The 24,924-nt window shown below is 54.3% G+C and overlaps 2 protein-coding genes and 2 long non-coding RNA genes across 10 annotated transcripts in view, besides 9 other annotated features; 2 read left to right on the forward strand and 2 right to left on the reverse strand.

Annotated features, from left to right (window-relative positions):
- Positions 1 to 4,071, forward strand: PPM1N (protein phosphatase, Mg2+/Mn2+ dependent 1N (putative)). Of its 3 annotated transcripts, NM_001080401.2 has the most exons (5): positions 1 to 969; positions 1,507 to 1,624; positions 2,014 to 2,119; positions 2,208 to 2,268; positions 3,575 to 4,071. In NM_001080401.2, exons 1-5 carry the CDS (start codon positions 31 to 33, stop codon positions 3,641 to 3,643), a joined length of 1,293 nt encoding a protein of 430 aa, NP_001073870.1. In that variant the 5' UTR covers positions 1 to 30; the 3' UTR covers positions 3,644 to 4,071. The 3 variants fall into 3 exon arrangements, with proteins under 3 accessions (NP_001073870.1, XP_047294180.1, XP_047294181.1); XM_047438224.1 differs by lacking the exon at positions 2,208 to 2,268; XM_047438225.1 differs by lacking the exons at positions 2,014 to 2,119; positions 2,208 to 2,268; positions 3,575 to 4,071 and having other exon boundaries at positions 1 to 988; positions 1,507 to 1,613.
- Positions 229 to 298: a silencer, noted in NCBI's record as "silent region_10774". NCBI's record gives its function as "represses an Ori minimal core promoter by ATAC-STARR-seq in GM12878 lymphoblastoid cells {active_cell/tissue: GM12878}" and the evidence as "EXISTENCE:reporter gene assay evidence [ECO:0000049][PMID:35858748]".
- LOC107985314 (uncharacterized) lies at positions 2,368 to 8,932 on the reverse strand. 2 transcript variants are annotated; one of them, XR_007067269.1, is made up of 2 exons: positions 8,243 to 8,932; positions 2,368 to 3,105 (listed from the first exon to the last, which is right to left on the reverse strand). It is a non-coding gene; the product is annotated as an uncharacterized LOC107985314 (long non-coding RNA). The 2 variants fall into 2 exon arrangements; XR_007067270.1 differs by lacking the exon at positions 8,243 to 8,932 and adding an exon at positions 3,242 to 3,579.
- Positions 8,098 to 8,347: a silencer, noted in NCBI's record as "silent region_10775". NCBI's record gives its function as "represses an Ori minimal core promoter by ATAC-STARR-seq in GM12878 lymphoblastoid cells {active_cell/tissue: GM12878}" and the evidence as "EXISTENCE:reporter gene assay evidence [ECO:0000049][PMID:35858748]".
- Positions 8,378 to 8,507: a silencer, noted in NCBI's record as "silent region_10776". NCBI's record gives its function as "represses an Ori minimal core promoter by ATAC-STARR-seq in GM12878 lymphoblastoid cells {active_cell/tissue: GM12878}" and the evidence as "EXISTENCE:reporter gene assay evidence [ECO:0000049][PMID:35858748]".
- Positions 8,702 to 9,486: an enhancer, noted in NCBI's record as "H3K27ac hESC enhancer chr19:46010402-46011186 (GRCh37/hg19 assembly coordinates)". NCBI's record gives its function as "activates a minimal SCP1, AML or CMV promoter by ChIP-STARR-seq in naive H9 embryonic stem cells {active_cell/tissue: H9 hESC(naive)}" and the evidence as "EXISTENCE:reporter gene assay evidence [ECO:0000049][PMID:30033119]".
- Positions 8,768 to 9,037: an enhancer, noted in NCBI's record as "active region_14800". NCBI's record gives its function as "activates an Ori minimal core promoter by ATAC-STARR-seq in GM12878 lymphoblastoid cells {active_cell/tissue: GM12878}" and the evidence as "EXISTENCE:reporter gene assay evidence [ECO:0000049][PMID:35858748]".
- The window catches only part of VASP (vasodilator stimulated phosphoprotein), a 19,505-nt gene continuing 3,617 nt past the window's right edge, over positions 9,037 to 24,924 (forward strand). For 2 of the 4 annotated variants that reach the window (NM_003370.4, XM_005259200.3), the window contains exons 1-7: positions 9,037 to 9,334; positions 19,221 to 19,392; positions 19,487 to 19,652; positions 22,880 to 22,964; positions 23,726 to 23,775; positions 23,898 to 24,139; positions 24,276 to 24,376. In NM_003370.4, coding sequence (NP_003361.1) covers positions 9,330 to 9,334; positions 19,221 to 19,392; positions 19,487 to 19,652; positions 22,880 to 22,964; positions 23,726 to 23,775; positions 23,898 to 24,139; positions 24,276 to 24,376 — 821 coding nt within the window. In that variant the 5' untranslated portion in view covers positions 9,037 to 9,329. The remainder of the gene's footprint in view (positions 9,335 to 19,220; positions 19,393 to 19,486; positions 19,653 to 22,879; positions 22,965 to 23,725; positions 23,776 to 23,897; positions 24,140 to 24,275; positions 24,377 to 24,924) is intronic. The other 2 variants (XM_005259199.3, XM_017027200.3) reach the window with 1 other exon arrangement.
- Positions 9,188 to 9,367: a silencer, noted in NCBI's record as "silent region_10777". NCBI's record gives its function as "represses an Ori minimal core promoter by ATAC-STARR-seq in GM12878 lymphoblastoid cells {active_cell/tissue: GM12878}" and the evidence as "EXISTENCE:reporter gene assay evidence [ECO:0000049][PMID:35858748]".
- Positions 9,962 to 10,161: a silencer, noted in NCBI's record as "silent region_10778". NCBI's record gives its function as "represses an Ori minimal core promoter by ATAC-STARR-seq in GM12878 lymphoblastoid cells {active_cell/tissue: GM12878}" and the evidence as "EXISTENCE:reporter gene assay evidence [ECO:0000049][PMID:35858748]".
- Positions 10,972 to 11,101: a silencer, noted in NCBI's record as "silent region_10779". NCBI's record gives its function as "represses an Ori minimal core promoter by ATAC-STARR-seq in GM12878 lymphoblastoid cells {active_cell/tissue: GM12878}" and the evidence as "EXISTENCE:reporter gene assay evidence [ECO:0000049][PMID:35858748]".
- LOC107985315 (uncharacterized) overlaps positions 22,508 to 24,924 on the reverse strand; it is a 3,364-nt gene continuing 947 nt past the window's right edge. The window contains exon 2 of the long non-coding RNA XR_001753959.1: positions 22,508 to 22,801. This is a non-coding gene — a long non-coding RNA (uncharacterized LOC107985315). The remainder of the gene's footprint in view (positions 22,802 to 24,924) is intronic.
- Positions 24,101 to 24,653: an enhancer, noted in NCBI's record as "H3K27ac hESC enhancer chr19:46025801-46026353 (GRCh37/hg19 assembly coordinates)". NCBI's record gives its function as "activates a minimal SCP1, AML or CMV promoter by ChIP-STARR-seq in primed H9 embryonic stem cells {active_cell/tissue: H9 hESC(primed)}" and the evidence as "EXISTENCE:reporter gene assay evidence [ECO:0000049][PMID:30033119]".

Consider the following 24,924-nt stretch of genomic DNA (forward strand, 5'->3'; position numbering starts at 1 on the left):
GTGGAGCCTTCCTGATCCCAGGGCTGAAGGATGGCGGTCCTGGCCCGCCAGCTGCAGCGTCTCCTCTGGACCGCTTGCAAGAAAAAGGAGAGGGAGAAGGAGGGGAGGGAGGAAGAGGAGGAGGAGGAGGCGGGGCGCAGGGCCCCCGAAGGGCCTCGGTCTCTGTTGACAGCGCCGCGCCGCGCCCAGCGGCCGCACGGGGGTGCCGAGGCGTCTGGGGGCCTGCGCTTCGGGGCGAGCGCAGCGCAAGGCTGGCGCGCGCGCATGGAGGATGCTCACTGCACTTGGCTTTCGTTACCTGGTCTGCCCCCGGGCTGGGCCTTGTTTGCCGTCCTCGACGGCCACGGTGGGGCTCGAGCTGCCCGCTTCGGTGCACGCCATTTGCCAGGCCATGTGCTCCAGGAGCTGGGCCCGGAGCCTAGCGAGCCCGAGGGCGTGCGCGAGGCGCTGCGCCGAGCCTTCTTGAGCGCCGACGAGCGCCTGCGCTCCCTCTGGCCCCGCGTGGAAACGGGCGGCTGCACGGCCGTGGTGTTGCTGGTCTCCCCGCGGTTTCTGTACCTGGCGCACTGCGGTGACTCCCGCGCGGTGCTGAGCCGCGCTGGCGCCGTGGCCTTCAGCACAGAGGACCACCGGCCCCTTCGACCCCGGGAACGCGAGCGCATCCACGCCGCTGGCGGCACCATCCGCCGCCGCCGCGTCGAGGGCTCTCTGGCCGTGTCGCGAGCGTTGGGCGACTTTACCTACAAGGAGGCTCCGGGGAGGCCCCCCGAGCTACAGCTCGTTTCTGCGGAGCCAGAGGTGGCCGCACTGGCACGCCAGGCTGAGGACGAGTTCATGCTCCTGGCCTCTGATGGCGTCTGGGACACTGTGTCTGGTGCTGCCCTGGCGGGACTGGTGGCTTCACGCCTCCGCTTGGGCCTGGCCCCAGAGCTTCTCTGCGCGCAGCTGTTGGACACGTGTCTGTGCAAGGTCCTGGGGGCGTGGCGTGGTACCTTTGGGGCTTGGTGCAGCAGAGGGAGAGAGCCTCGGGGTTTTGGGGAGGAGGGCTTTGATAGAGAGGCAAGAGTAAAGCTAGCAAAGGAGGGGATAGGACTCAAGCGAAGGGCGTGGCCTGAAGTGGGCAGGGCCAAAATACAGGGGCGGAGCCTGAGGGATGCTTTGAGGCACGGGAGAGTTAGTGGAAGGGACTTAAGAGAAAGGGCGTGGTCTTTTGGAAAGGGGCGATTCTGGGTCGTAGGAGCCGGGCCGGAAGTATTGATTAGTGCTGGAAGGTGGAAGAGCAGGTAAACATCAGAGCGGGCGGAGCTTTAGGGAAAAGGCATTGTTCTCTCAATTGGGAGCGCCTAGGACCGGGTTTGGTCCCAGTAAGAGAGGATTGGCAGGTGGGTGGGACGCGAAAGAAATGGGCATAAGTAGAATGAAGTGGGGGACTTGAACCTGGGGATTGTTGGGAAGCTCTGCCTTGGACTCTCCCCCACCGGGCTCCTTTTTCTCCACCGGCTTCAGGGCAGCCTGGACAACATGACCTGCATCCTGGTCTGCTTCCCTGGGGCCCCTAGGCCTTCTGAGGAGGCGATCAGGAGGGAGCTAGCACTGGACGCAGCCCTGGGCTGCAGAATCGCTGGTGAGCAGACTCTGGGGGCCCAGCTGGAGGGGTGGTTGGCCAGTGAAGGCTGTGCCATAACTTTTTCTTTTTTTCTTTTTTTTTTTGAGATGGAGTCTTGCTCTGTCTCCTAGGCTGGAGTGCAGTGGCGTGATCTTGGCTCACTGCAACCTCTGCCTTCCGGGTTCAAGCGATTCTCCTGCCTCAGCCTCCTGAGTAGCTGGGATTACAGGCATGCACAATCACACCCAGCTAATTTTTGTATTGTTAGTATAGACGGGGTTTCACGATGTTGTCCAGGCTGGTCTCGAACCCCTGGCCTCAAGTGATCCGCCCGCCTTGGTCTCCCAAAGTGCTGGGATTACAGGCGTGCGCCACTGTGCCCAGCCTAACTCTTGACTCTTTCTCAGAACTGTGTGCCTCTGCTCAGAAGCCCCCCAGCCTGAACACAGTTTTCAGGACTCTGGCCTCAGAGGACATCCCAGATTTACCTCCTGGGGGAGGGCTGGACTGCAAGTGAGTTGGGGTGAGGAAGGGTGGGGTGGAATGAGGGTGGGGTGGAAGGAGGAGAGTCCCCTCCTGAGGGCCTTCCTGTGCTCTCCAGGGCCACTGTCATTGCTGAAGTTTATTCTCAGATCTGCCAGGTCTCAGAAGAGTGCGGAGAGGTAAGGATCCTGTGTTCTCCAGTGTTTCTCTTAGGAGGGGACGCCCCCCCGCCCACCCCTCTTAGTGACAGGGAAATTGAAGCCAGTGAGGATAAGGGATTTGCCTGATATATTTTATTCCTCTTTTCTCTTCTTTCTTTCTCTTTTTTTCTTTTCTTCCTTCCTTTCTTTTCTCTCTCTCTTTTTTTTTAGACTGGGTCTCACTATGTTGCCCAGGCTGGTCTCAAACTCCTGGGCTCAAGGGATCCTCCTGCTTTGGCCTCCCAAAGTGCTGGGATTACAGGCGGGAGCCACTGCAACCCAGCCAGCTTGCTATATTAATACATTCCTACTCCCAGCCCTGAAGCATTGTGCAAGGCATGAGGAGGGAGACGCAGATGCAGAGAAGAGACTGTGATTCCCCTCCAAGAAATGTGAGCCGGCAACGCTCTGCAGTGCCCCATCAGCCCAAGTGCTTCCCACATCCAAGAATAAGATGGAAACATTCAGGGAATGCTAATGACCAATTCTAAGGCCTAGACGCACAGCAGATACCATCAGGACATACATGAGTATGATCCAGGTCTTAGACAAGAGAAGCTGTAATGGGGCCCAGATAGCTAAGGAGAATTTGGAGATATCCAAAGATGTATAGTGGTGGACCAAGGCATGGAGTGGCATCAGGGAAGAAATGGGAGGGAGGAAGCTGGGTTTAGAGCCCCAAGGCCTTTGCATGGCAGAGGTGGGAGTTTGGTGATTATCATGTTGATGAGGGAGGATTGTTGACAATTTCTCAGTAGCTGAAGGAGGTATTTGTCAGTTTTCTTTGAGTCGTGAGAGATGGAAGCCCAATTCAAGCTGGGAAAACAAAACAGGGAATTTACTGGGCCATGTAATTGAAGAGTTTAGAGTCTTAAGGCATGGCTGCATCTAGTTGTCAGATGATGTCATCATGAATGGTCTCTTTTTATTTTCTCCGAGTTGGCTTCATTACCTTTCAGGGTCTCCTCCTAAGGTAGCGGAGACTTGCAGCTCCAGGCTTACACCCCAGCAGCCTGTCCTCCCCAGTGGAGAAAGTTTGCCAATTTCCCCGGAGTTGCAGCAGTGGTCTTTGGGGGCTGGTTCTCATTGGCCACACCAGGTCACATGCTGACCAGTCACTGTGTCTGATTGGCCAGGCTGGGGTCGCACTTGGGGTTGGGGTCCACTCCATTCAAACCTTAATGGATTGTGAGATGGGATATGGTGGTCCCTCAAAGGAAAAGGAAGAGGTGCCAGGAGACAAGACAGAATTTCTCATTACCTTCTCCCACATTTTGTGTTACAGAAGGGGCAGGATGGGGCTGGGAAGTCCAACCCCACGCATTTGGGCTCAGCCTTGGACATGGAGGCCTGACAGCTGTTGTCCTTTGGGGATCCTTTGCTTCTCTGGGGCCTCAACAGAACTAAAGAAGAAAACCGACCCTTTCCCCAACTACATGTACCAGCGGAAGGAAGGAAGGCCAATGTAGGAACCCAAAATGCTTATTTCTTCTTCTCTTACTTCCCTCTCACAGAAAAGTCTTACGAATGGGGAAATTCCACCAACATCCAGACCAAAAAGAAAAAAGCCCAAATCGAAAAAAAAAAAAAAAAAAAAAAAAAACAAAAAAACCCAACCAAATGTTTTTGAAATATTCAGAGCCGAACAGATTCTGAGAGATAACCCAGTCCAATAACCTCTTTCCTTCTTATTACTCATCTGTTTTTGAGGGGAAGTAGAGTTTTGATTATTAAACTTTATTTACATAAGTGATTCCAAATACATTTTCTTGTAAAAAACAAGAAGACATGTTTTGCCTAGTCTGTTAGCAAATACGTTACAGGGCACCTGCTGTGTGCCAGGTCTTAGCCTCACAGTCATGAACCAGGCTGACCCACCAAGATCCTTGCCACTGTGGGGCTGACCTCTTGGTCAGGAGACGCAGCAAACAAGGGAATCAATAAATAAAGTCATCTCGCCAGGCGCAGTGGTCCACATCTGTAATCTCAGCACTTGGGGGAGTCTGAGGTGGGAGGATCACTTGAGCCCAAGAGTTCGAGACCAGCCTGGGCAACATAGCAAGATGCAATCTGTAATTTTTTTTTTTTTTTTTTTTTTTGAGACGGAGTCTCGCTCTGTCACCCAGGCTGGAGTGCAAGGGTGCTCTCTCGGCTCACTGCAAGCTCCGCCTCCCGGGTTCATGCCATTCTCCCGCCCAGTCTGTAATTAATACTAAAAAAATGAAGTCATCTTGCACACTGACAAGTGTCACGAAGAAAATAAAACAGGAGGATGTGTTGAGAAAATGACTAGGGGAGCTACTTCGGGTTTTTTACTTTTTCCAATTTTTAAAATTTTGATTTATTTAATTCAGGTAGTTTTGAATGGGTAATAAATTCACTTGGTTTGAAATGCAAAGAGTGCAAGATGGCATACAATGAAGTCTTTCTCTATCCCTCTCACACTTCAGCCACTCAATTTTCCGTGGTGGGGGAGGTGGCTTTTGAAACAGGGGAATCAGGAAAGGTCTCTGAGGAGGGGACAGTTGAGCAGAGACCTGACAGAGAAGAGTCAGCTCCGCAAATACCCCAAAGAGTGTTCTAAGGCAGAGGGAACAATCAGTATGAAGGCTTAGAAGCAGGATAAAATTTCCCCCCTTTTTTTTTTTTTTTTTGAGACAGAGTTTTCACTCTTGTTGCCCAGGCTGGAGTGCAATGGTGCAATCTCGGCTCACTGCAACCTCCGCCTCCTGGGTTCAAGTGATTCTCCTGCCTCAGCCTCCCAAGTAGCTGGGATTACAGGCACGTGCCACCACACCAGGCTAACTTTTTGTATTTACTACAGACAGGGTTTCACCATGTTAGTCAGGCTGGTCTCGAACTCCTGACCTTAGGTGATCCACCCAACTCGGCCTCCCAAAATGTTGGGATTACAGGCATGAGCCAGCCACCAGGTCCGGCCAAATTTGGCATTTTCAAGACAGACTTGAGACCTCCCAAGTGCGGTGGCTCACACTTGTAATCCCAGCACTTTGGGAGGCCGAGGCAGCTTGATTCCAGGAATTCGAGACCAGCATGGGCAACATAGCAAAACCTTGTCTCTACAAAAAAAAAAAAAGATCTCTGTGACCACCAAATTAACCCCACACTCTCTATCTCACTGGTAACCCTTGCAATGAGTTTAAAGTGGACTTTTTACATGTATTAATATATGGTATTCTGGGTGTTTCCTTGATTTTTTTCATTCCCTTCGTATCTCTGGCAACTTTTTATCCACTTAATGGATGTTTTCATTCTATGTCACCCACGTCATTTACACACTTCATGCCACCCGTTTTTTTAAGAGACAAGGTCTAAGTCTGTATCCCAAGCTGGAGTATAATGGCGCAATCATCGCTCACCACAGCCTCGAACTCCTGGGCTCAAGCAATCCTCCTACCTCATCTTCCCAAGTAGCTGGGACCACAGATGGATGATACCACACCCAGTTAATTTTTTTTTTTTTTTTAGAGATGGGGTCTCGGCCAGGCGCAGTGGCTCACACGTGTAATCCCACCACTTTGGGAGGCCCAGGTGGGCAGATCTTCTGAGGTCAGGAGTTCGAGACCAGCCTGACCAACATGGAGAAACCCCATCTCTACTAAAAAATGCAAAAATTAGCTGGGCTTGGTGGTGCATGCCTGTAATCCCAGCTACTTGGGAGGCTGAGGCAGGAGAATCGCTTGAACCCAGGAGGTGGAGGTTGCAGTGAGCCGAGATTGCGCCATTGAACTCTAGCCTGGGAAACAAGAATGAAACTCTGTCTCAAAAAAAAAAAAAAAAAAAAGAGAGAAATGGGGCCTCACTATGTTGTCCAGGCTGGTCTCAAACTCCCTGACCTCAAGTGATCCTCCTGCCTTGGCTTCTCAAAGCACCAAAGCACTGGGATTACAGGCATGACACACCTTGCCCAGTCCACACCTCCTTAAGTTGCTGCTCACTCCGTGCTTCAGAAAAGGATGTCCAAGGGTTTCACTATTCCCTGCCCTCATCTTTTTTTTGTTTTGTTTTGTTTAATTTTTTTTGAGGAGTCTTGCTCTGTCTCCCAGGCTGGAGTGTAGTGTCACGATCTTGGCTCACTGCAACCTCCGCCTCCGGGGTTCAAGTGATCCTCCCACCTCAGCCCCTCAGCCACCCAAGTAGCTGGGATTACAGGTGTGTGCCACCATGCCTGGTTAATTTTTTGTTTTTGGTAGAAACGGGGTTTCACCATGTTGGCCAGGCTGGTCTTGAACTCCTGACCTCAAGTGATCCACCCGCCTCGGCCTCCCAAAGTGCTGGGATTACAGGCGTGAGCCACTGTGCCCAGCCTCCCCTGTCCTCTTGATGAACATTTAAGCTATTTCCAATTTCTTGCTCTCACATCACTGCTACCGTAAAGATCGTTATGTACATATGCAAGCGTTCTCTTACACAGGGGTCTTGCTACCTGTTTTGTACAGCACTTAAGCTAAGAAGAGTTTTTTTTACAGTTTTTAAGCCTTGTAAGAAAAAAGAAAAACTGAAGAGTGTGTAAACCAGACCCTATGTCTAGCATATCTAAAATATTTCCTATTTGAACTTTTACAGAAAATGTTTGCCGGCTGGGCCTGGTGACTCACACCTCCAATCCCAGCACTTTGGGAGGCTGAGCCAGGCTGATCACTTTAGCCCAGGAGTTTGAGACCAGCCTGGGCAACACAGCTAAACCCTGTCTCTACAAAAAATTAGCCTGGCATGGTGGTGTGGACCTACAGTCCCAGCTACTCAGTGGGCTGAGGTTAGAGGATCGAATGAGCCCTGGTTATGCTACTGCGCTCCGGCATGGGCAACAAAGACCCTGTCTCCAACAAACAAACAAACAAAAAACCATGTTTGCTGACTGTTGTTGTAGTGTAGGTGGCACCCAGAAATGCCACCCCTCCTATGTCACAGATGGGAAAGCTGAGACCCAGAGAGGAGAACACAGTTACCCAAGGTCACACTGAACTGGTAACTCATTCAACTAGGTAAGTTTGTTGAGCTGCTGAGCCGGGCGGGCCTGGCTGGGGTGAGTGAGGTCCAGAAATTGATTAAGTCAACTGGGTGCAGTGGCTCATGCCTGTAATCCTAGCACTTTGGGAGACTGAGGCAGGCAGATCACCTGAGGTCATAAGTTTGAGACCAGCCTGGCCAACATGGTGAAATCCCATCTCTACTAAAAATACAAAAATTAGTTGGGCTTGGTGGCCCGTGCCTGTAATCCCAGCTACTTTAGGAGGGTGAGGCAGGAGAATTGCTTGAACCCAGGAGGGGGAGGTTGCAGTAAGCGGGGATCGAGCCAGCGCCCTCCAGCCTGGGTGACAGCGAGAGACTACATCTCAAAAAAAAAAAAAGAAAAAAAGAAATTTAGTCTACCCATTCTCCCAGACAACTCAGCCTGAGGAAACACACTGAGAAACAATGATAACCTCCGAGGAACAGGGTTCAAGGTCTCCCAGAGTGGGGTGGAGAAGGGGAGGGGAATTAATGTCAAAGCTTGGCCTGGAAGGATGACGTGCTCCCCAGGTAAAGGAGGTCAGGACAACATCAACATCCGGACATGGGACTCGGCTTGGACATACGCTGGAAAAGTGGATTCTCTCACATAGTCAGCTGGCCCTGAGAATTGTTGGTTTTACACTCAGACCTTGGTGGCTTTCCGGGTTCTGGGGGCTCAGGCAAGAGGGCCATAGGCCAGATTCATTCCCTGTCTCCAGGCCTCAGTTTACCCGTGTGTAAATGTGGAACTAACTGATTTCCCAGGGCTCGGGCGCCTCACCCGGGCCAGGTGGCGCTCTACCCAAGGGGCGCGACCAAATCAGTGACGTCACTCGGGGCGGGGCCGGCAAGACACGCTGCGGAAGCCTCAGAGGGTGTCTGGGCTCAGCCCGGAGCCGGCGTGTGGGGGCGGGGGCTCCCGGGAGGGTCTCCTCACCTCCGGGCCCTCCTGAGGGCTGGGATGATCCTGCTGTCCTCCGCAGGCGAAACTGAGTCAGAGCGGGGCGTGCGTGGGCCGGAGGCTTTACACACCAAAGAAGCCGGCGCCTCCTGCCCACCCCGGGCGAATGCCGGGCCCCCCACTCCCGCACTCCTCGCCAGTCCCCACCTCCACCCCACCCCACCCCCGACCCTGCGGCTGTGAGTCAGCGACCGACCGCGCCCCCTTGGCCCACTTCCTCCTCACCTTCCCGGGGCGGGCGGGGTGGGGTGAGAGGGGTTGGGCCCTACTCCCCCGACTTCCACTCCCGTGCGGGTGGGGGTCTCGCCCCCTTAGTAACCTCTCCGAAATTGACAGAAGAGAAACGCTGGGGAGGGGCGGTGTTCCGAAGATGGGATTTCAGGGAGAAAATCTGAGACCACTTGCTTAACTTGAGGGTCCTCCTCGACCCCCAAAATTGAGCGGAGTACGAGATGGAGAAGTCGATGGGGAAAGAAATCGCGCCCCTTCCGAGACCCTCCTCAGAATTCCCACAGTGGGAGCGAACTAGGAAGCAAGGGAGGTCCCCTTCCCCTTCACCAACTTGCCCCTCAGGTGGGGGTGATTCCCAGGGTGCACCCCTGGGCTACAACATTGGGGAGAGGAGCGAGATCGCGGAAGCCGAGGGTGCAGAGTTGCCCTTTTAAGCGCCCTCCACCCCCTCGCCTGGAGGCGCACGCGGCCCCTTTAAGGCGCGGGGCATTGTGGGTGCGGGGAGTGGAATTTTGGAACGAAATGTAACGAAGAGAAGTACAGTAGTAAGAGTAACACTGTAGCCGCCACCGGCAAGGGGTGCGCGCTGGGGAGCGGACGCTGCATCCCCTTTCTGCTGCAGGAACCTCTCATCAGACCGCCTGAGGGAAGCGGCGCCCGGAGACCCGCCCCGGCCCGGTCCACATTCTCCCCAGGAAGCCGGACTCTATGGGGCGGGACCCTGGGGGAGCCTGAGCCGAGCCCGGAGCCAGCCCCGAACCCCTGAACCTCCAGCCAGGGGCGCCCCGGGAGCAGCCAGCCCGTGGGCGAGCCGCCCGCCCGCCGAGCAGCCATGAGGTGAGCCGGACCTGCCCCCCGACCCGTCCCCGCCCGGGCGGGCTCCGCGCCCCGCCTTTGTCCCCCTCCCCCCCAGCTAGCTCCGGGCTGGAATTTGGGGACAGATCCTTGGGAGCCTCGGATTTGAGCTGAATCCCCTTGGACGCGCCCCAGAACCGTCGATCACTTCTCCACGACTGACTCCCCAAGCTCGGGGGGTGGTGGCGGTGAGGTTCTCCTGGGAGCCCTCAAGATTTGGGGGCGCTCGGAGGACTCCCGAATTGTTAAGACTTTTTTTAGAGGACCTCAAAGTTGGCAGCGACTCCCCGCAGGGATGCCAGGATTGAGGCAGGGCTCAGACTCTCCTCCCCCTCCCCCCAGACTTCAGCTCGAGGTCCGGGAAGGATTGTGGGGGACCGATTTGGGATACCCTGGGACTTGGAAGAGAGACTGAGACTCAGACCCTGGGTGTGCAGGTCCCCCGTTTACTTGGTGCTGGAAAAAGTCTCCCCAAGTGGGACCGCGCTCCATAACTTCGGGGGTACTTCTTAATCCCCTGGATTTTGGGGGTCACTTAGGTCTTCCTGTGGAGGAGGCTGGTGTGAACCGATCCAGGGACCTGGACGCAGCCTCCAGAGTCTGGTGGGACCCCCCCCTTCCCCGTCGCTCCGCACACAATCTGCTTAACTGGCCGTGCCTAGGACCGAGCGGGCGCTCGGAGCAGAGGGCGGCTCCCCGCCTCCGGCCATAAGGGCGGCCCGGCTCCCCCACCTGCGCGGCCCTGGAGAGGGAGGGGGCGCGGCAGCTGGGGGAAGGGGGCCTTTGTCTTCCTGACTCACCTGTCGAGACAGCTGGTGTGGGGGGCGGGCACCAAGCGCTGTAGGCCGGCTGCCTTCCCCACCACGGCCCCTCCCCCTTTGCTCACCGTCCCCCTATCCACCCGGAGCCTTGGGGTTGGAGGAGGGGGAGCTGGAAAGCTTCAAGGTCATAGCCCTCTTCCCTAGGGACCCAGGCTTCCCAGATAATTCCAGCTATCTTCCCAGGAATTTAATCCTGGGGGTGGCGGCCCAAGGGACCCAGGGATTTGGTCTGGCCGGGGCCTCCCCCGAACTCCTGGGCTCACCTGAGGGCGGGGCCAGTGTGGGCAGGGGGGCCCAACCATCCCCCCTATTCTTCCCTCCCCTGGCCCCCCATAATCTCTCCCATGGGGCCAGAGCCTGACAATACTATCTCCCTTCCTCTACTCTCTCTGGGACTTCCTGCCCCAAAGCCCCCAGCCTGAGCAGGGAGGCCCCTGGGGACGGTTGGGGATTAACCCCGTGGTGCCCACATCCCCCGCATTTCCTGAACCCCTGCCCTTTGACATCGGAGTGGCGTGGCATTCCTTTTTATGACCACTAGAGAATCCCCCTCCCGCGTTTGTTCCTTCTGATGTGAAAGGCATGGCTGGAAAATTTGGAGCAAGGAGGACACCCACAGATACCCTCAAGACTTCCTGCCTATCCGCTCCCCATTATAGCAACATCCCTTCCAAGTCCGCCCTGGAGAGGGGTCAGTTTAGGGAGCGTCGCTCTCTTCCTTCGCCCTCTTCCTCCGGGACTCTTCTCTCCCCTTGCCCCCCAGCCCCGCCCCTCCACCCCCCCTCGCGTTTCCGGTCCCAGGCTCGGTGGAAGGCGGATGGCGGATGTCCGAGTTAGTGCTGCCTCACTCACTGCAACCGTAAAAGGGCAGGAGCGGTGTCTGGGCCGGCCCCCTGTCCTCCCCACCACCACCACCACCACCAGCACCAGCCCTGGAAGCCCTGGCCCTCCCACAAGGCCCACCTCTTGCTGTGGTGGTGGCCAAGCATCCCGTCTTGTGGGGGTGCTGGGGTGGGGTGCGGTGCAGAAATGACCAGATGCCTGTCCCACCAAAAGGCCACTCCCACCTTTCCAGGGGGTCTCCCCTGCAGGTGGTCACACCCGACTTCCTGGGCTGTGCCTCTTCTCCAAGGACAGCCAGAATTCAAAACCCATGCCCCTATTACCCAGCTGGGGAAACTGAGGCTCAAAGAGAAAAAGACATGGCCAAGATCCCTCAGAAATTCCTAGGCAACGTTGGAGGGGTGGAGGAGCCTAGGATCCTCTGATTTCTGGCTGGTTTGGCTGGGGACAGTCCTGGGGGCAGTTGGAAGAGAGGATGTTAAGATGGAAAATTACAAGATATAGTTCTTTTTCTCCCAGTTTGACAAATATTTGTTGAGTGTTGGCTGTGTCCGGGACTGGAGCTGGGGTGCTGGGAAGACAGAGAAGCGAGGCAGAGGTCTAGAATCTCAGGGCAGAAGGGACTTGGGGAGAACTGGGGTCCATTTCTTTCTTCTTCCAATAATAGCTATTTTTATTTTTAAAAAATAAGAGACCATTTGATCAAGCATCTATTTTATGTGGGGCATTTTTGTGCCTGACAGCAATTCTGGCTGGTTTTTTTGTTGGTTTGTTTGTTTGTTTTGAGACGGAAATTTTGCTCTTGTTGCCCAGGCTGTTGTGAAATGGCATGATCTCGGCTCACTGCAACCTCCGTCTCCTGGGTTCAAGCGATTCTCCTCCTCAACCTTCCGAGTAGCTGGGACTACAGGTGCCTGCCACCATGCCCGGCTAATTTTTATATTTTTAGTAGAGATAGGGTTTCACCGTGATGGCCAGGCTGGTCTCGAACTCTTAACCTCAGGTGATCCACCCGCCTCGACCTCCTAAAGTGTTATTATTACAGACGTCAGCCACCACACCTGGCCCCTCATGGCAGTTCGAACAATGATACTATTACAACCTTGTGGCCTCCCCACCCCGGTACTCAGTTTATAGATGGGGAAACTGAGGCACAGGAAAGTTAGGCAAGGTGCCTATTAAACTCAAACAGGGCCAGGCGCCGGGGCTCATGCCTGTAATCCTAACACTTTGGGAGGCCAAGGCAGAAGGATCGCTTGAGCCCAGGAGTTTGAGAACAGCCTGGGCAATATGGTGTAACCCCGTCTCTACAAAATATACAAAAATTAGCTGGGTGTGGTGGCATGCGCCTGTAGTTCCAGCTACTCTGGAGGCTGAGGCGAGAGGATCGTTTGAGCTGGGGAGGTTGAGGCCGCAATGAGTCATATTCTTGCCACTGCACTCCAGCCTGGGTGACAAAGTGAGACCCTGTCTCAAAAAAAAAAAAAAAATAGAGATAACATGCTTTCCGTGTTCTTAATGAAGAAAAAGAAAAAAAAAAAGGAACGTGCTTTCACTGTGAAAACTCTTAAGATAATTCAGATAAGCCAAATGAAACCGAAGCTGCAACATTTATCTTCCTATTCACTTATGGGAAACTGAGGCCCACCAGGAGGAAGGGACTAGAGTAGCCCCATCCCCGACAAAAGAAGATTTGTCGTTTGGAAGGGTGGTGTATATGTATCATAGGTTTTATGGTATAAGGAGGGTATGGGCTAAGTCTTGGGTTCAGGGGACAGTGAAGGGAAGGGTAAGACTGCAAGTTTTGTGAAAACCGGATTCACCATGCTTGATTACCTCTGGTGATGGGAAGCTCTCTCCTTCATGTGGAGCGTGTACCAAGTTACAGTTCCTGCGTTTAGGGCTTTTTGTCCATTATCTCTTTTAATCCTTACAATGAACCCAGTGAGTTATTGTTTCCAGGGCTGGAAACTGAGTTTCAGAGAGGCAAAGCCACACAACAAGGAGGCAACTTGAACCGTCTTTTCATCCGCCATGTGCTAGAGTTTTCCAAAATGTGGGGACTTGCAGGGAGGAGTGGGTCCTGGGCTGGCTGGAAAATTAAAGTGTTCTCATGTCCAATGGAGGGTTCTAGACTTCGGGAAAACACACTGGAAATGGGCAGAACTCCTTTCCATCTCACAGCCCCCGCACCCCCGTTTTATGGCTATGGGATTTTCGTTCTGGCTTTTGTGTAGTTTACAGTTTTATTTATTGAACTTAAGTAGTGAGTTAGGTTTTTATAGGTAATTTCAACCCATGATAAGAAAACAAATAATAAGCAGTTTGAAATACTTACTGAAATTATTGAAATGGTGGCTGGGCCTGGTGGCTTATGCCTGTAATCCCAGCACTTTGGGAGGTCGAGGCAGGCAGATCACCTGAGGTCAGGAGTTTGAGGCCAGCCTGGCCAATGTGGCAAACGCCCAAACCCCATCTCTACTGAAAATAGAAACATTAGCCTGGCGTGGTGGCACACGTTTGTAATCCCGGACACTCAGAAGGCTGAGGCAGGAGAATCGCTTGAACTCGGGAAGTGGAGGCTGGGAGGCTGAGGCAGGAGAATTGCTTGAACCTGGGAGGTGGAGGCTGCAGTAAGCTGAGATTACACCACTGCCAGCCTGGGTGCAGAGTGAGAGACTCTGTCTCAAAAGATAAATGGTACAAAATATTTGTTTCTTCCCTCCCCAGTTCCTGAGTTCCCCTCAATGGAGGCAGCCACAGTTAGTGTCTTGGGAAACAGTCTCTGCATATATCACCACTCTGAGTGCAGATATATTTATATATGCTCCTCACTGTTTTTTTTTTTGAGATGGAGTCTTGCTCTGTCGCCCAGGCTGGAGTGCAGTGGCGCGATCTCAGCTCACTGCAACCTCCACCTCCCAGGTTCAAGCAATTCTCCTGCCTCACCTCCTGAGTAGCTGGAATTACAGGCACGCGCCACCACGCCCAGCAAATTTTTCTATTTTTAGTAGAGACAGGGTTTCACCATGTTGGTCAGGCTGGTCTCAAACTCCTGACATCAAGAGGTCCGCCTGCTTCGGCCTCCCAAAGTGCTGGGATTACAGGCTTGAGCCACTGCGCCTAGCCTACCTTTTTTGTTTGTTTGTTTTTGTTTTTGAGACGGAGTCTTGCTCTGTCCCCCAGGCTGGGGTGCAGTGGCGTGATCTTGGCTCACTGCAACCTCCGCCTCCTGGGTTCACGTGATTCTCCTGCCTCAGCCTCCCAAGTAGCTGGGATTACAGGCGCCCGCCACCACGCCTGGCTAATTTTTTGTATTTTTAGTAGAGACGGGGTTTCGCTATGTTGCCCAGACTGGTCTCAAACTCCTGACCTTGTGATCCGCCTGCCTTGGCCTCCCAAAGTGCTGGGATTACAGGCATGAGCCACCGCACCCGACCTTTTTTTTGGTTTTGTAAAGCCTCTGATCAACACTACCTTGTACTTTGGCTTTTAAAAATTTCAATTTAGCTCTGCTTCTTCATCTTTAAATGAAGTTAAGAACTTGTGGGAACTTCGTTTCAACTATGAGCCCCTCTGCTTACTTGCTGTGTGATCTGGGGCAAGTGCCTTCACTCCTCTGTGCCTGCAATTCCCCCTTGTCAAAAGGGTGAGCGTCAGAGCCTATCCCATGAGGTTGTAGAGTCATGCAGCAGGGAAATTGGTGTCAAGCACCAAGAAGAGTGTCTGGGACCCAGGCTGACTGAGAAATGTTAGGTGTCCTAGGTAAAAGTTTGCCTTTTTTTGTGAGGGAGTCTTGCTCTGTGAGGGAGTCTTGCTCTGTTGCCCAGGCTGGAGTGCAAGTGACCTGAACAAGGCTCACTGCAGCCTCATCCTCTTGGACTCAAGTGATCCTCCTGCCTCACCCTCCTGAGTAGCTGGGACTACAGGCAAGCGCCACCACACCCAGCTAATTTTAAAGTTTTTTGTACAGACGGAGGTCACCATCTTGCCCAAGCTAGTCTCTCTCCTTTTTTTTTTTTTTTTTTTTTGAGACAGAGTCTCGCTCTGTCTCCCAGACTGGAGTGCAGTGGTCTGAGATCGGCTCACTGCAACTGCCTCCTGGGTTCAGTGATTCCCCTGCCTCAGCCTCCTGGGTAGCTGGGATTACAGGCATGAGCCACCATGCCTGGCTAATTTTTGTATTTTTAGTAGGCATAGGGTTTCACCATGTTGGCCAGGCTGGTGTCGAACTCTTGACCTCAAGAGATCCACCTGCTTTGGCCTCCCAAAGTTCTGGGATTACAGGCATAAGCCACCACACCCAGCCTTCCCAAGCCAATCTCAAACTCTTGGGCTCAAGTGATCCTCCTGCCTCAGCCTCCCAAAGTGCTGGGATTACAGGCGTGAGCCACCTCCCCTGGCCAAAGTTTGCCTTTTTTTACAGATGTTTCGTAACTATTGAGTCCCTACTATGTGTTGGACGCCATTCTAGGTTCTGGGGACACAGCAGTGAACAACTGGGACACAAATTTCTGCCTTTTTGGCAGCGGAGACAGACAAATATTGTGTTGGGCAGGGGTCACTGCTATGAAATGTGCAGCAGGGGATGAAAAGGAGAGAAGCGTTTCCAGCTAAGGGAGTGAGGGACGGCTTCTTGGAAGGGGTGACATCTAAGGAGAGACCTGAAAGTGGGGAGAGGCTAGGCCTGAGGAAGAAGCAGCACACAGGCCCGAGGCAGGAATGTGTCTGGCCTGCGGGAAGAGCAGCATGGGGGTAGGAGGTCTAGGGTCTGGAACAGAGTCCCCAAGGGACAGTGGAGCGGGAAGAAATGAGATCTGAGGACACACAGATCACGGAGGCCCTGGAGAGAACTTGGCATTGATTCCGTAGGAGCCTGGAGCCTTCAAGAAGAAGAAGAGACATCCCACCTTGTAGGTTTTTGTTAGTTTGTTTTGTTTTTTAGAGATGGGGGGTCTCACTGTGTTGCCCAGGCTGGTCTTGAACTTCTGGACTAAAGCAATCCTCCCGCCTCGGCCTCTCAAAGTGCTGGGATTACAGGCATGAGCCACCGTTCCCCGCCCCACCTCGTGTTTTAACAGGATCCTTCTGTTACAATGGGTATAGTGTTCCCTGGAGAGGGGCAAGACCACCCCTTGGTCACCCAGCAGGCGCCCTGTTCTCCGGCCAGTCCAGAGCCTCAGTAGGGCAGGGCTGCCTGGGAGAGCAAAGTGCAGCCAGGGCGGGGCAGCAGCAGCCCCGGGCTCCTGGCCAGAGTCGGCCCTGGGTGTGGGTGGCAGGTGTGGGTGAGGCCGAGGCCTTAACCCTGCCTTGCCAGGGGCAGCAGGAGCCAGAAACAGCCCCCGAGGCTGTGTTTGTCTGGAAAGGGCACCTGGTGTTTGGGTGGGGCCCACACAGTTCCCGGTGGTTAAGGCTTGGAAGCCTGAATTCACATCTTCACTCTATTCCTCAGTAGCTGTGTGACTGTGGGCAAGTCACTCAACCTCTCTGGGCCTCTAGTCCTCACCTGCAAAATTAGAATGAGTGGCTCTCTGGATAAGCTGCAGTGAGAATAAAATGAGTGACTTTGGGGGAGGGGCTTAAGGCCCCTGATCCACCTGAAATGCCTAGTAAGAGGGAGATGGCACAATTAGGTAAATTTGAGGGTCCCTACCCCAGGTCCCTACCCACAGCTGAGTCTGCCTAGGGACTTTCCCTGCCCTGACTTCCCAGCATCAGTGTCACACCCAGCCCCCAGCCCTCCTAGAGACAGAGGCTTTGCGGGGGGTGTCTAATTTCTGTCCCCGGAAACCTCTGACCACCAACTTCCCCATTTCAGGAAAAAGCCTGGTGTGGGTGGGGTGGGGAGGAGACCAGTGCTTCCCCTTCCCCTGTGTGACCTTGGGCAAGTCACTTCCTGTTTGAGTTCCTGTCTAGGCCTGAGTTTCCTCACTGGGGGAGAGGGGATTGAACCTCCCAGAGGGGCTGGTGGGAGGGTCCCGAGGGTTGTAGCTGTCCCGGGCCCCAGTGGTGCCCATGAGAGGGATGTTGACAGTTACTGAGCTCTCGGCGTGTGCTGGACGCTGTACCAAGCACTTAGCTTTTTTTCTTTTTTTTGAAACAGAGTTTCACTCTGTCGCCCAGGCTGGAGTGCAATGGCGTGATCTCAGCTCACTGCGGCCTCCACCTCCTGGGTTCAAGCGATTCTCCTGCGTCAGCCTCCTGAGTAGCTCAGACTACAGGTGCACACCACCACGCCCAGCTAATCTTTGTACGTTTTTGTAGAGACGGGATTTCACCATGTTGCCCAGGCTGGTCTCGAACACCTGAGCTCAAGCGATCCATTCACCTCAGCTTCCCAACATGCTGTAATTACAGGCGTGAGCCACCACACCCGGCTGTACCAAGCCCTTTAGGTGCCCAGATTCATGTGCCCCTCCCCCACTGCCCTGGAGGTGGGGACTGTCATTTTCCCAGTTCACAGGCAAGAAGAGGTCTTGAGTGGGAAGGTCATGTGCCTGAGTCACATGAAGTAGGTGGCTCAGTGGGGATTTGAACCCAGGTCTGGGGATATCAGCTCCTGAACTCTGCACCAGTTTACTGACACCTCCCACCCAGGCTAAGTCAGACGTTGCCTTTTCCAGGAAGTCCTGCCTGACTCTCCAGGCTGGGGCAGGCGTTCCTTCAGGGTACCCCCAGACCCTGGGCTCCTTGGTCCTAAACCTGGGTTGGTACCGTCTGGGGACAGCTGTGTCTCCCACACTGGACTGTGAGCCCCAGGAGGGTGGTGCCGGAGCTGTCTGGGTCACTGCTGTGTCTTCATCCCCAGCCCCACCCAATATAGGCCAGACACAGAGCAGGGAGTATCTGGGGAATGGCCGCTAGTGCCCTGGGGAGCCAGGCGAGGGGTGGGCAGCGGGAAGTCCCTTTGGAGGAAGAGCTCAGAGGTCTGGGATGGGTCCCCAACCTGCTGCAGGCCTCACACTTCCCCTCCCAAGCCTCAGCTTCTTCCTGAGCAGGCAGTGGTGGAGGGGGGTGCGTAGAGATAGGGAAACTGAGGTCAGGCAGGGGCTGGTCCCTAGTGCAGCTCTGGGCTCTTGGCCTCCTTCTGGCCCCTCTGTCTTCCCTCCTGCCCTCTGCTCTGCTAACCCGCATCCCCCCACTGGCATTGGCCTCGGCCTCTTACACCCCTCAGCCTGTCTCTCCATCTTTATCTTTTCCTTCTTATTAGTTTTGTTGTGTTGTGTTTTTTATTTTTCATTAAAAAAGTTTTTTTGTGGACTGGGTGTGGTGGCTCACCCCTGTAATCCCAGCACTTTGTGGGGCTGAGGCAAATGGATCACTTGAGCCCAGGAGTTCGAGACCAGTCTGGCCAACATGGTGAAACCTCGTCTCTACTAAAAATACAAAAAATTAGCTGGGCTTGGTGGTGCATGCCTGTGATTCCAGCTACTCAGGAGGCTGAGGCGGAGAATGGCTTGAACCTGGGAGGCAGAGGTTGCGGTGAGCCGAGGACAGCCCGGGTGACAGAGTAAGACTCTGTCTCAAAAAAAAAAAAAAAAAAAAAAAGATTAGTCGGGTGTGGTGGTGCATGCTTGTAGTCCCAGCTACTTGGGAGGCTGAAGTGGGAGGATCGCTTGAGCTCAGGAGGTCGAGGCCACATTCCAACCTGGGTGACAGAGAGCAAGACTCTGTCTCAAAAACAAAAATAAAAATAATAATAATAATTATTATTATTAGAGATGGGGTCTCACTATGTTGCCCAGGCTGCTCTGAAATGCTTGGGCTCAAGTGATCCTCCTGCCTCAACCTCCAAAGTGCTGGGATTACAGGTGTGAGACACCACGCCAAGACCATCTTTATCTCTTTCTGTGTCTGCCTCTTCCTCCAGGTCCCCTGTCTGCCCATCCTTTTTCCCCACCCCTCCCCCATCTGTTCATCTGTCTGTCTGCCTTCAGTCTGTCTCTCCTCTTTGTCAACCCGACTCTCCCTTTCCCACCTCTCTCTGCGTCTGTCTCTTGCATCTCGTTTGTGTGTTTGCCTGTCTCTCCTGATCTGATTTTCTCTCCTGATCTGTCTCCCCCGTCTCCTTCTGTCCACGTGGCTCCTGCCTCCCTCTGTGTCACTCTCTTCCTTCCACACACTGTCTTTGTCCCTTGGAATCTCCCAGGAGAGACCCAGATAAGAAGGTGACCGGCCCCTCTCCCTTTTCCTCCCGCCTGCAGCGAGACGGTCATCTGTTCCAGCCGGGCCACTGTGATGCTTTATGATGATGGCAACAAGCGATGGCTCCCTGCTGGCACGGGTCCCCAGGCCTTCAGCCGCGTCCAGATCTACCACAACCCCACGGCCAATTCCTTTCGCGTCGTGGGCCGGAAGATGCAGCCCGACCAGCAGGTGCAGCTTCCCGCCGGCCCCCTCTGTGGGCTGAACCCCTACCCGCCCCACCCCTGCGCCCGCCGCCCCTCACCCCCCTTTCCCCTCCCACCAGGTGGTCATCAACTGTGCCATCGTCCGGGGTGTCAAGTATAACCAGGCCACCCCCAACTTCCATCAGTGGCGCGACGCTCGCCAGGTCTGGGGCCTCAACTTCGGCAGCAAGGAGGATGCGGCCCAGTTTGCCGCCGGCATGGCCAGTGCCCTAGAGGCGTTGGAAGGTCAGAAATGGCGGCGGGCAAAGGGGACCAGTGAATGCGGCTGTGTGGCCTGGGGCTGCCGCTTTACCCTGCTGGGACTTGGTTTACTCGTCGGTAAAATAGAGCGAATTCATTGTTATCATGGAAAATTATCACTAGCATTTTGTGCATTCCAGTGTGACCGTGTGCACCTATGTGTAAAATGCACCATTGGCCCGGCGCCGTGGCTCATGCCTGTAATCTCAGCACTTTGGGAGGCCGAGGCACACGGATTACCTGAGGTCAGGAGTTTCACCGTGCCCAACATGGTGAAATTGCGTCTCTATTAAAATTCAAAAATTAGCTGGGCGTGGTGGTGCGCGCCTGTAATCCCAGCTATTCGGGATGCTGAGGGACGAGAAGTGTTTGAACCCAGGAGATAGAGGTTGCAGTGAGCCGAGATCAGGCCACTGCACTTCAGCCTGGCGACAGAGCAAGATTCCGTCTCAGAAAGAAAACAAACACAAAAAAAATGCACGATTACTCAGGGATCAGTACTCCATGAACTTTACACAGGCACACTCCCGGGAAACCACCTCCCAGATCAAGACATAGGTAGGTCCTGCCCCAGAAACAGGATCTCGCTCTGTTGCCCAGGCTGGTGTGCACTGGCACAATCATGGCTCTCTGCAGCCTTCACCTCCTGGGCTCAAGTGATCCTCTTGCCTCAGCCTCCTAAGTAGCTGGGAATACAGGTGTGCACCACCATACTTGGCTCTTTTTTTGTTTTGTTTTTTGAGACAGAGTCTTGCTCTGTCACCCAGGCTGGAGTGCAGTGGTGCAACCTCAGCTCACTGCAACCTCCACCTCCCGGGTTCGCGTGATTCTCGTGCCTCAGCCTCCTGAGTAGCTGGGATTACAGGCATGTGCCACCATGCCCAAGCTATTTTTTTGTATTTTGTTTTTATTTTTATTTTTTTGAGACAGAGTCTCACTCTGTTGCCCAGGCTGGAGTGCAGTGGCACGATATTGCCTCACTGCAACCTCCGCCTCCCGGGTTCAAGCGATTCTCCTGCCCTAGCCTCCCGAGTAGCTGGGACTATAGGCGTGAGCCACCACACCCGGGTAATTTTTTGTATCTTTAGTAGAGACAAGGTTTCACCGTGTTAGCCAGGATGGTCTCTATCTCCTGACCTTGTGATCCGCCCGCCTAGGCCTCCCAGAGTGCTGGGATTACAGGCATGAGACACCATGCCCGGCCCTTGTATTTTAGTAGAGAAGGGGTTTCACCATATTGGCCAGGCTGGTTTCAAACTCCTGGCCTCAAGTGATCCACCTGCCTCTGCCTCCCAAAGTGCTGGGATTATAAGTGTGAGCCACCATGTCTGGCCACCTGGATCATTTCAAATTTTTTTTTTTTTTTTACTTTTTGTGGAGATGGTCTACAGGCTGGTCTTGAACTCCTGGGCTCAAGTGATCCTCCCACTTCAGCCTCCTAAAGTGCTGGGATTACAGGCATGAGCCACTACACCCAGCCCAGTTGCTTTTTTTTTTTTTTTTTGGAGACGGAGTCTCGCTCTGTCCCCAGGTTGGAGTGCAGTGGCGCGATCTCCGCTCGCTGCAAGCTCTGCCTCCCGGGTAAATGCCATTCTCCTGCCTCAGCCTCCCGAGTAGCTGGGACTACAGGCACCCGCCACCACATCCAGCTAATTTTTTGTATTTTTAGTAGAGACGGGATTTCACCGTGTTAGCCAGGATGGTCTCGATCTCCTGACCTCGTGATCCGCCCGCCTCGGCCTCCGAAAGTGCTGGGATTACAGGCGTGAGCCACTGCGCCCGGCCTTTTTTTTTTTTTTTTTTTTTTTTTTTTAATATGGAGTCTCACTCTGTCTCTCAGGCTGGAGTGCAGTGGTGTGATCTCAGTTCACTGCAACCTCCGCCTCCTGAGTTTAAGCAATTCTGCCTCAGCCTCCTGAGTAGATGGAACTATAGGTGTGCACCAACATGCCTGTCTAATTTTTGTAGTTTTAGTAGAGACGGGGTTTCGCAGTGTTGGCCAGGCTGGTCTCGAACTCCTGACCTCAGGTGATCCACTCGCCTCGGCCTCCCAGAGTGCTGAGATTACAGGCGCGAGTCACGCGCCCAGCCCAGTTGCTATTTCTTAAACCTTAACGTGCACATGAATCACCTGGGGATCTGGTTAAAGTGCAGGCTCTGGTGCAGGTGGGCTGGGCGGACTGAGACTCCACATTCTCACAAGTGCCCTGGTGATACCCAGGCTGCTGGTCTGCGGACGTGACTGAGTAGTGAGGTTTTAGGTGACTGCCGTGCATCTGGCCTGGAATCACTGCTGTAGAACTGAAAGTCACCAAATGCAGGGGTGTTTGCTTCGTGGGACAACTTCTGTGCTAGTGCGGAAGGGGCTTGCTCCTCTGGGGCACACAGAAAAATACAGTGGGCTTCAGTTGAGTCATCTGTAAATTGGGGCTAATTCATTGTTAATTCGTAGCCAATTCAATTCAGGTGCTAGGGCCAGAGGCCTGGAGGTAGGTGAGGAAGAAGCTCTTTACCTTTCCAGGTTCTTAGGTAAGGTCCAAGTGGCTGTAACAGTGGTTAAGAGCTAGCCAGGGGCCAGGTGCGGTGGCTCACGCCTGTAATCTCAGCACTTTGGGAGGCTGAGGCAAGTGGATCACTTGAGGTCAGGAGTTCGAGACCAGCCTAGCCAACATGGTGAAATCCCATCTCTATTAAAAATACAAAAATTAGCCAGGCATGGTGGCAGGCGCCTGTAATCCCAGCTACTCAGGAGGCTGAGGCAGGAGAATCTCTTGAACCCGGGAGGTGGAGGCTGTGGTGAGCCGTGATTGCACTGCTGCACTCCAGCCTGGGTGACAGAGTGAGACTCTGTCTCGAAACAAACCAACAGTGGTTAAGAGCCTGGCTGCTGGAATCAGCCTGAATTCAAGTCTTGTTCCTGCACATTCCACCCTGGAGAAATCTGGGGCAAGTGACTGTTCCCCGGGCCTTAGCTTCTCCTGTCACTGGGACATCACAACAGCACCTACCTTAGGGCAACTCAGGCCAGGGAAGTTGGTGCTGCCTCACCTCCCAATGTGCGTCCTCCTGGGCCTGGAGCCTCAGGGCCTCTGGAAGGAGGAAGTGAGCGCCTCTGGGCAGGATTCCTGGGAGGCCTGGGAGAGCAAGGGAAGCGCCAAGAGCTGAGCAGAGTTCTGGGACTGATCCATGGCCCTTTCTCTCTCACCTTTCAGGAGGTGGGCCCCCTCCACCCCCAGCACTTCCCACCTGGTCGGTCCCGAACGGCCCCTCCCCGGAGGAGGTGGAGCAGCAGAAAAGGTGGGGCTGGGCCCTGGGTGGGGAACCTTAGCCGCTGCCAGAGTTCCATATGTTCTGGAACCCTTGACTCCTAGAGTTCAGAACCCAGCCAACTTGCAGTTTTCAGAATGTTCAAGAAACTTCTGACACTCAGAGTTGCAGAACCTCCTGGTCCCTGCAGATTCCTGGAAATCAGAATATGGTGGTTGAAAGAATCTTGTGGCTGGGCGTGGTGGCTCACGCCTGTAATCCCAGCACTCTGGGAGGCCGAGGCGGGCAGATCGCCTGAGGTCAGGAGTTTGAGACCAGCCTGGCCAACATGGCGAAATCCCGTCTCTACTGAAGATAACAAAAATTAGCCGGTCATGGTGGCGCCCGTGCCTGTAATCCCAGCTCGGCAGGCCGAGGCAGGAGAATCGCTTGAACCCGGGAGGCAGAGGTTGCAGTGAGCCAAGATCGAGCCACTGCACTCCAGCCTGGGTGACAGAGTCTCAAAAAAAAAAAAAGAAAAGAAAGAATCTTGGGCATTTTGTAATTCGGTGTTCCTGACAGTTTAGTGACTGGGATCTCGCATCCTGATCTCTCCCTGTCGCTGCCCTGCCCTCCATTCCCCCTACTCTCACCCAGCCCCCTTCTTGGTTCCCTAGGGGAGGAAGGCTTGGGTGAGTATTAGGAGCCAGCCACCCTGGAGACCTCTGAGAGAGAGGACGGAGGTCGCTGGCCCCTTCGCTGGCCATCCTTAGGGCCCTGATTGACGGCAGCTCTCTCGCCTCCCCCCACAGGCAGCAGCCCGGCCCGTCGGAGCACATAGAGCGCCGGGTCTCCAATGCAGGTGATGCTCAGATAGCTTCGGGAGTTGGGAGGGGGCCTCCCTGGAGGAAGTGGCCAGCCAGCTGGACAGTGAAGAATGAGGCTTCTCTCTCTCAGCTGCCCCCTTTTCTGTGTTTGTTTCAGGAGGCCCACCTGCTCCCCCCGCTGGGGGTCCACCCCCACCACCAGGACCTCCCCCTCCTCCAGGTCCCCCCCCACCCCCAGGTTTGCCCCCTTCGGGGGTCCCAGCTGCAGCGCACGGAGCAGGGGGAGGACCACCCCCTGCACCCCCTCTCCCGGCAGCACAGGGCCCTGGTGGTGGGGGAGCTGGGGCCCCAGGCCTGGCCGCAGCTATTGCTGGAGCCAAACTCAGGAAAGTCAGCAAGGTGAGGGGCCGGGAGAGGTGGGCAGGGGGCAACAGGGCTTTTATGGGGGATGAGGCCAGGGCTGCCGGCGGTGTCATTGGGCTGGAAGGCCAAAAGGCCTGCCCCTAAAGCTCCTGCCCCTTTTAAATTTCTCCAGCAGGAGGAGGCCTCAGGGGGGCCCACAGCCCCCAAAGCTGAGAGTGGTCGAAGCGGAGGTGGGGGACTCATGGAAGAGATGAACGCCATGCTGGCCCGGAGGTGAGCCTGAGCCTGGACCCCCAAGTCACCTGGAGTTCCAGTTCAGTAGGGCCCAGTCAGAGGAGGGCTCCAATTCCTGTTTAGTTTGTTTCTTTTGGTGAATGTTCCCCCTTTGATAACCAGGTTTGGGATATAATGGTGGGGTTTGTCATGAAATGCCTGAGGCTTGCAACCACCTAGGTAGCCTGTAGATGTTCTAAAACCCAGAATTCTAGAACCGTAGGAGATCCTGCCTCAGAATTCTGGGAACTCAGGTTCCTGCAATCTCAGTGTTCCAACACAGCACCGCTCCACCCTCGGAATCTTACTGTTCCCTAATATAAGAATCATAGAACCTCCTCCACCCTGATTCTAGAACCACAATCTCTTGAATTTTTTTTTTTTTTTTTTTTTTTTTTTTTTGAGATGGAGTCTTGCTCTGTCACCCAGGCTGGAGTGCAGTGGTATGATCTCGGTCCACTGCAACCTCCGCCTCCTGGGTTCAGGCAGTTCTTCTGCCTCAGCCTCCTAAGTAGCCGGGATTACAGGCATGAGTCACCACACCCGGC

This window comes from Homo sapiens, chromosome 19, assembly GCF_000001405.40.
Source record: "Homo sapiens chromosome 19, GRCh38.p14 Primary Assembly".
In the NCBI taxonomy this organism is placed as follows: Eukaryota; Metazoa; Chordata; class Mammalia; order Primates; family Hominidae; genus Homo; species Homo sapiens.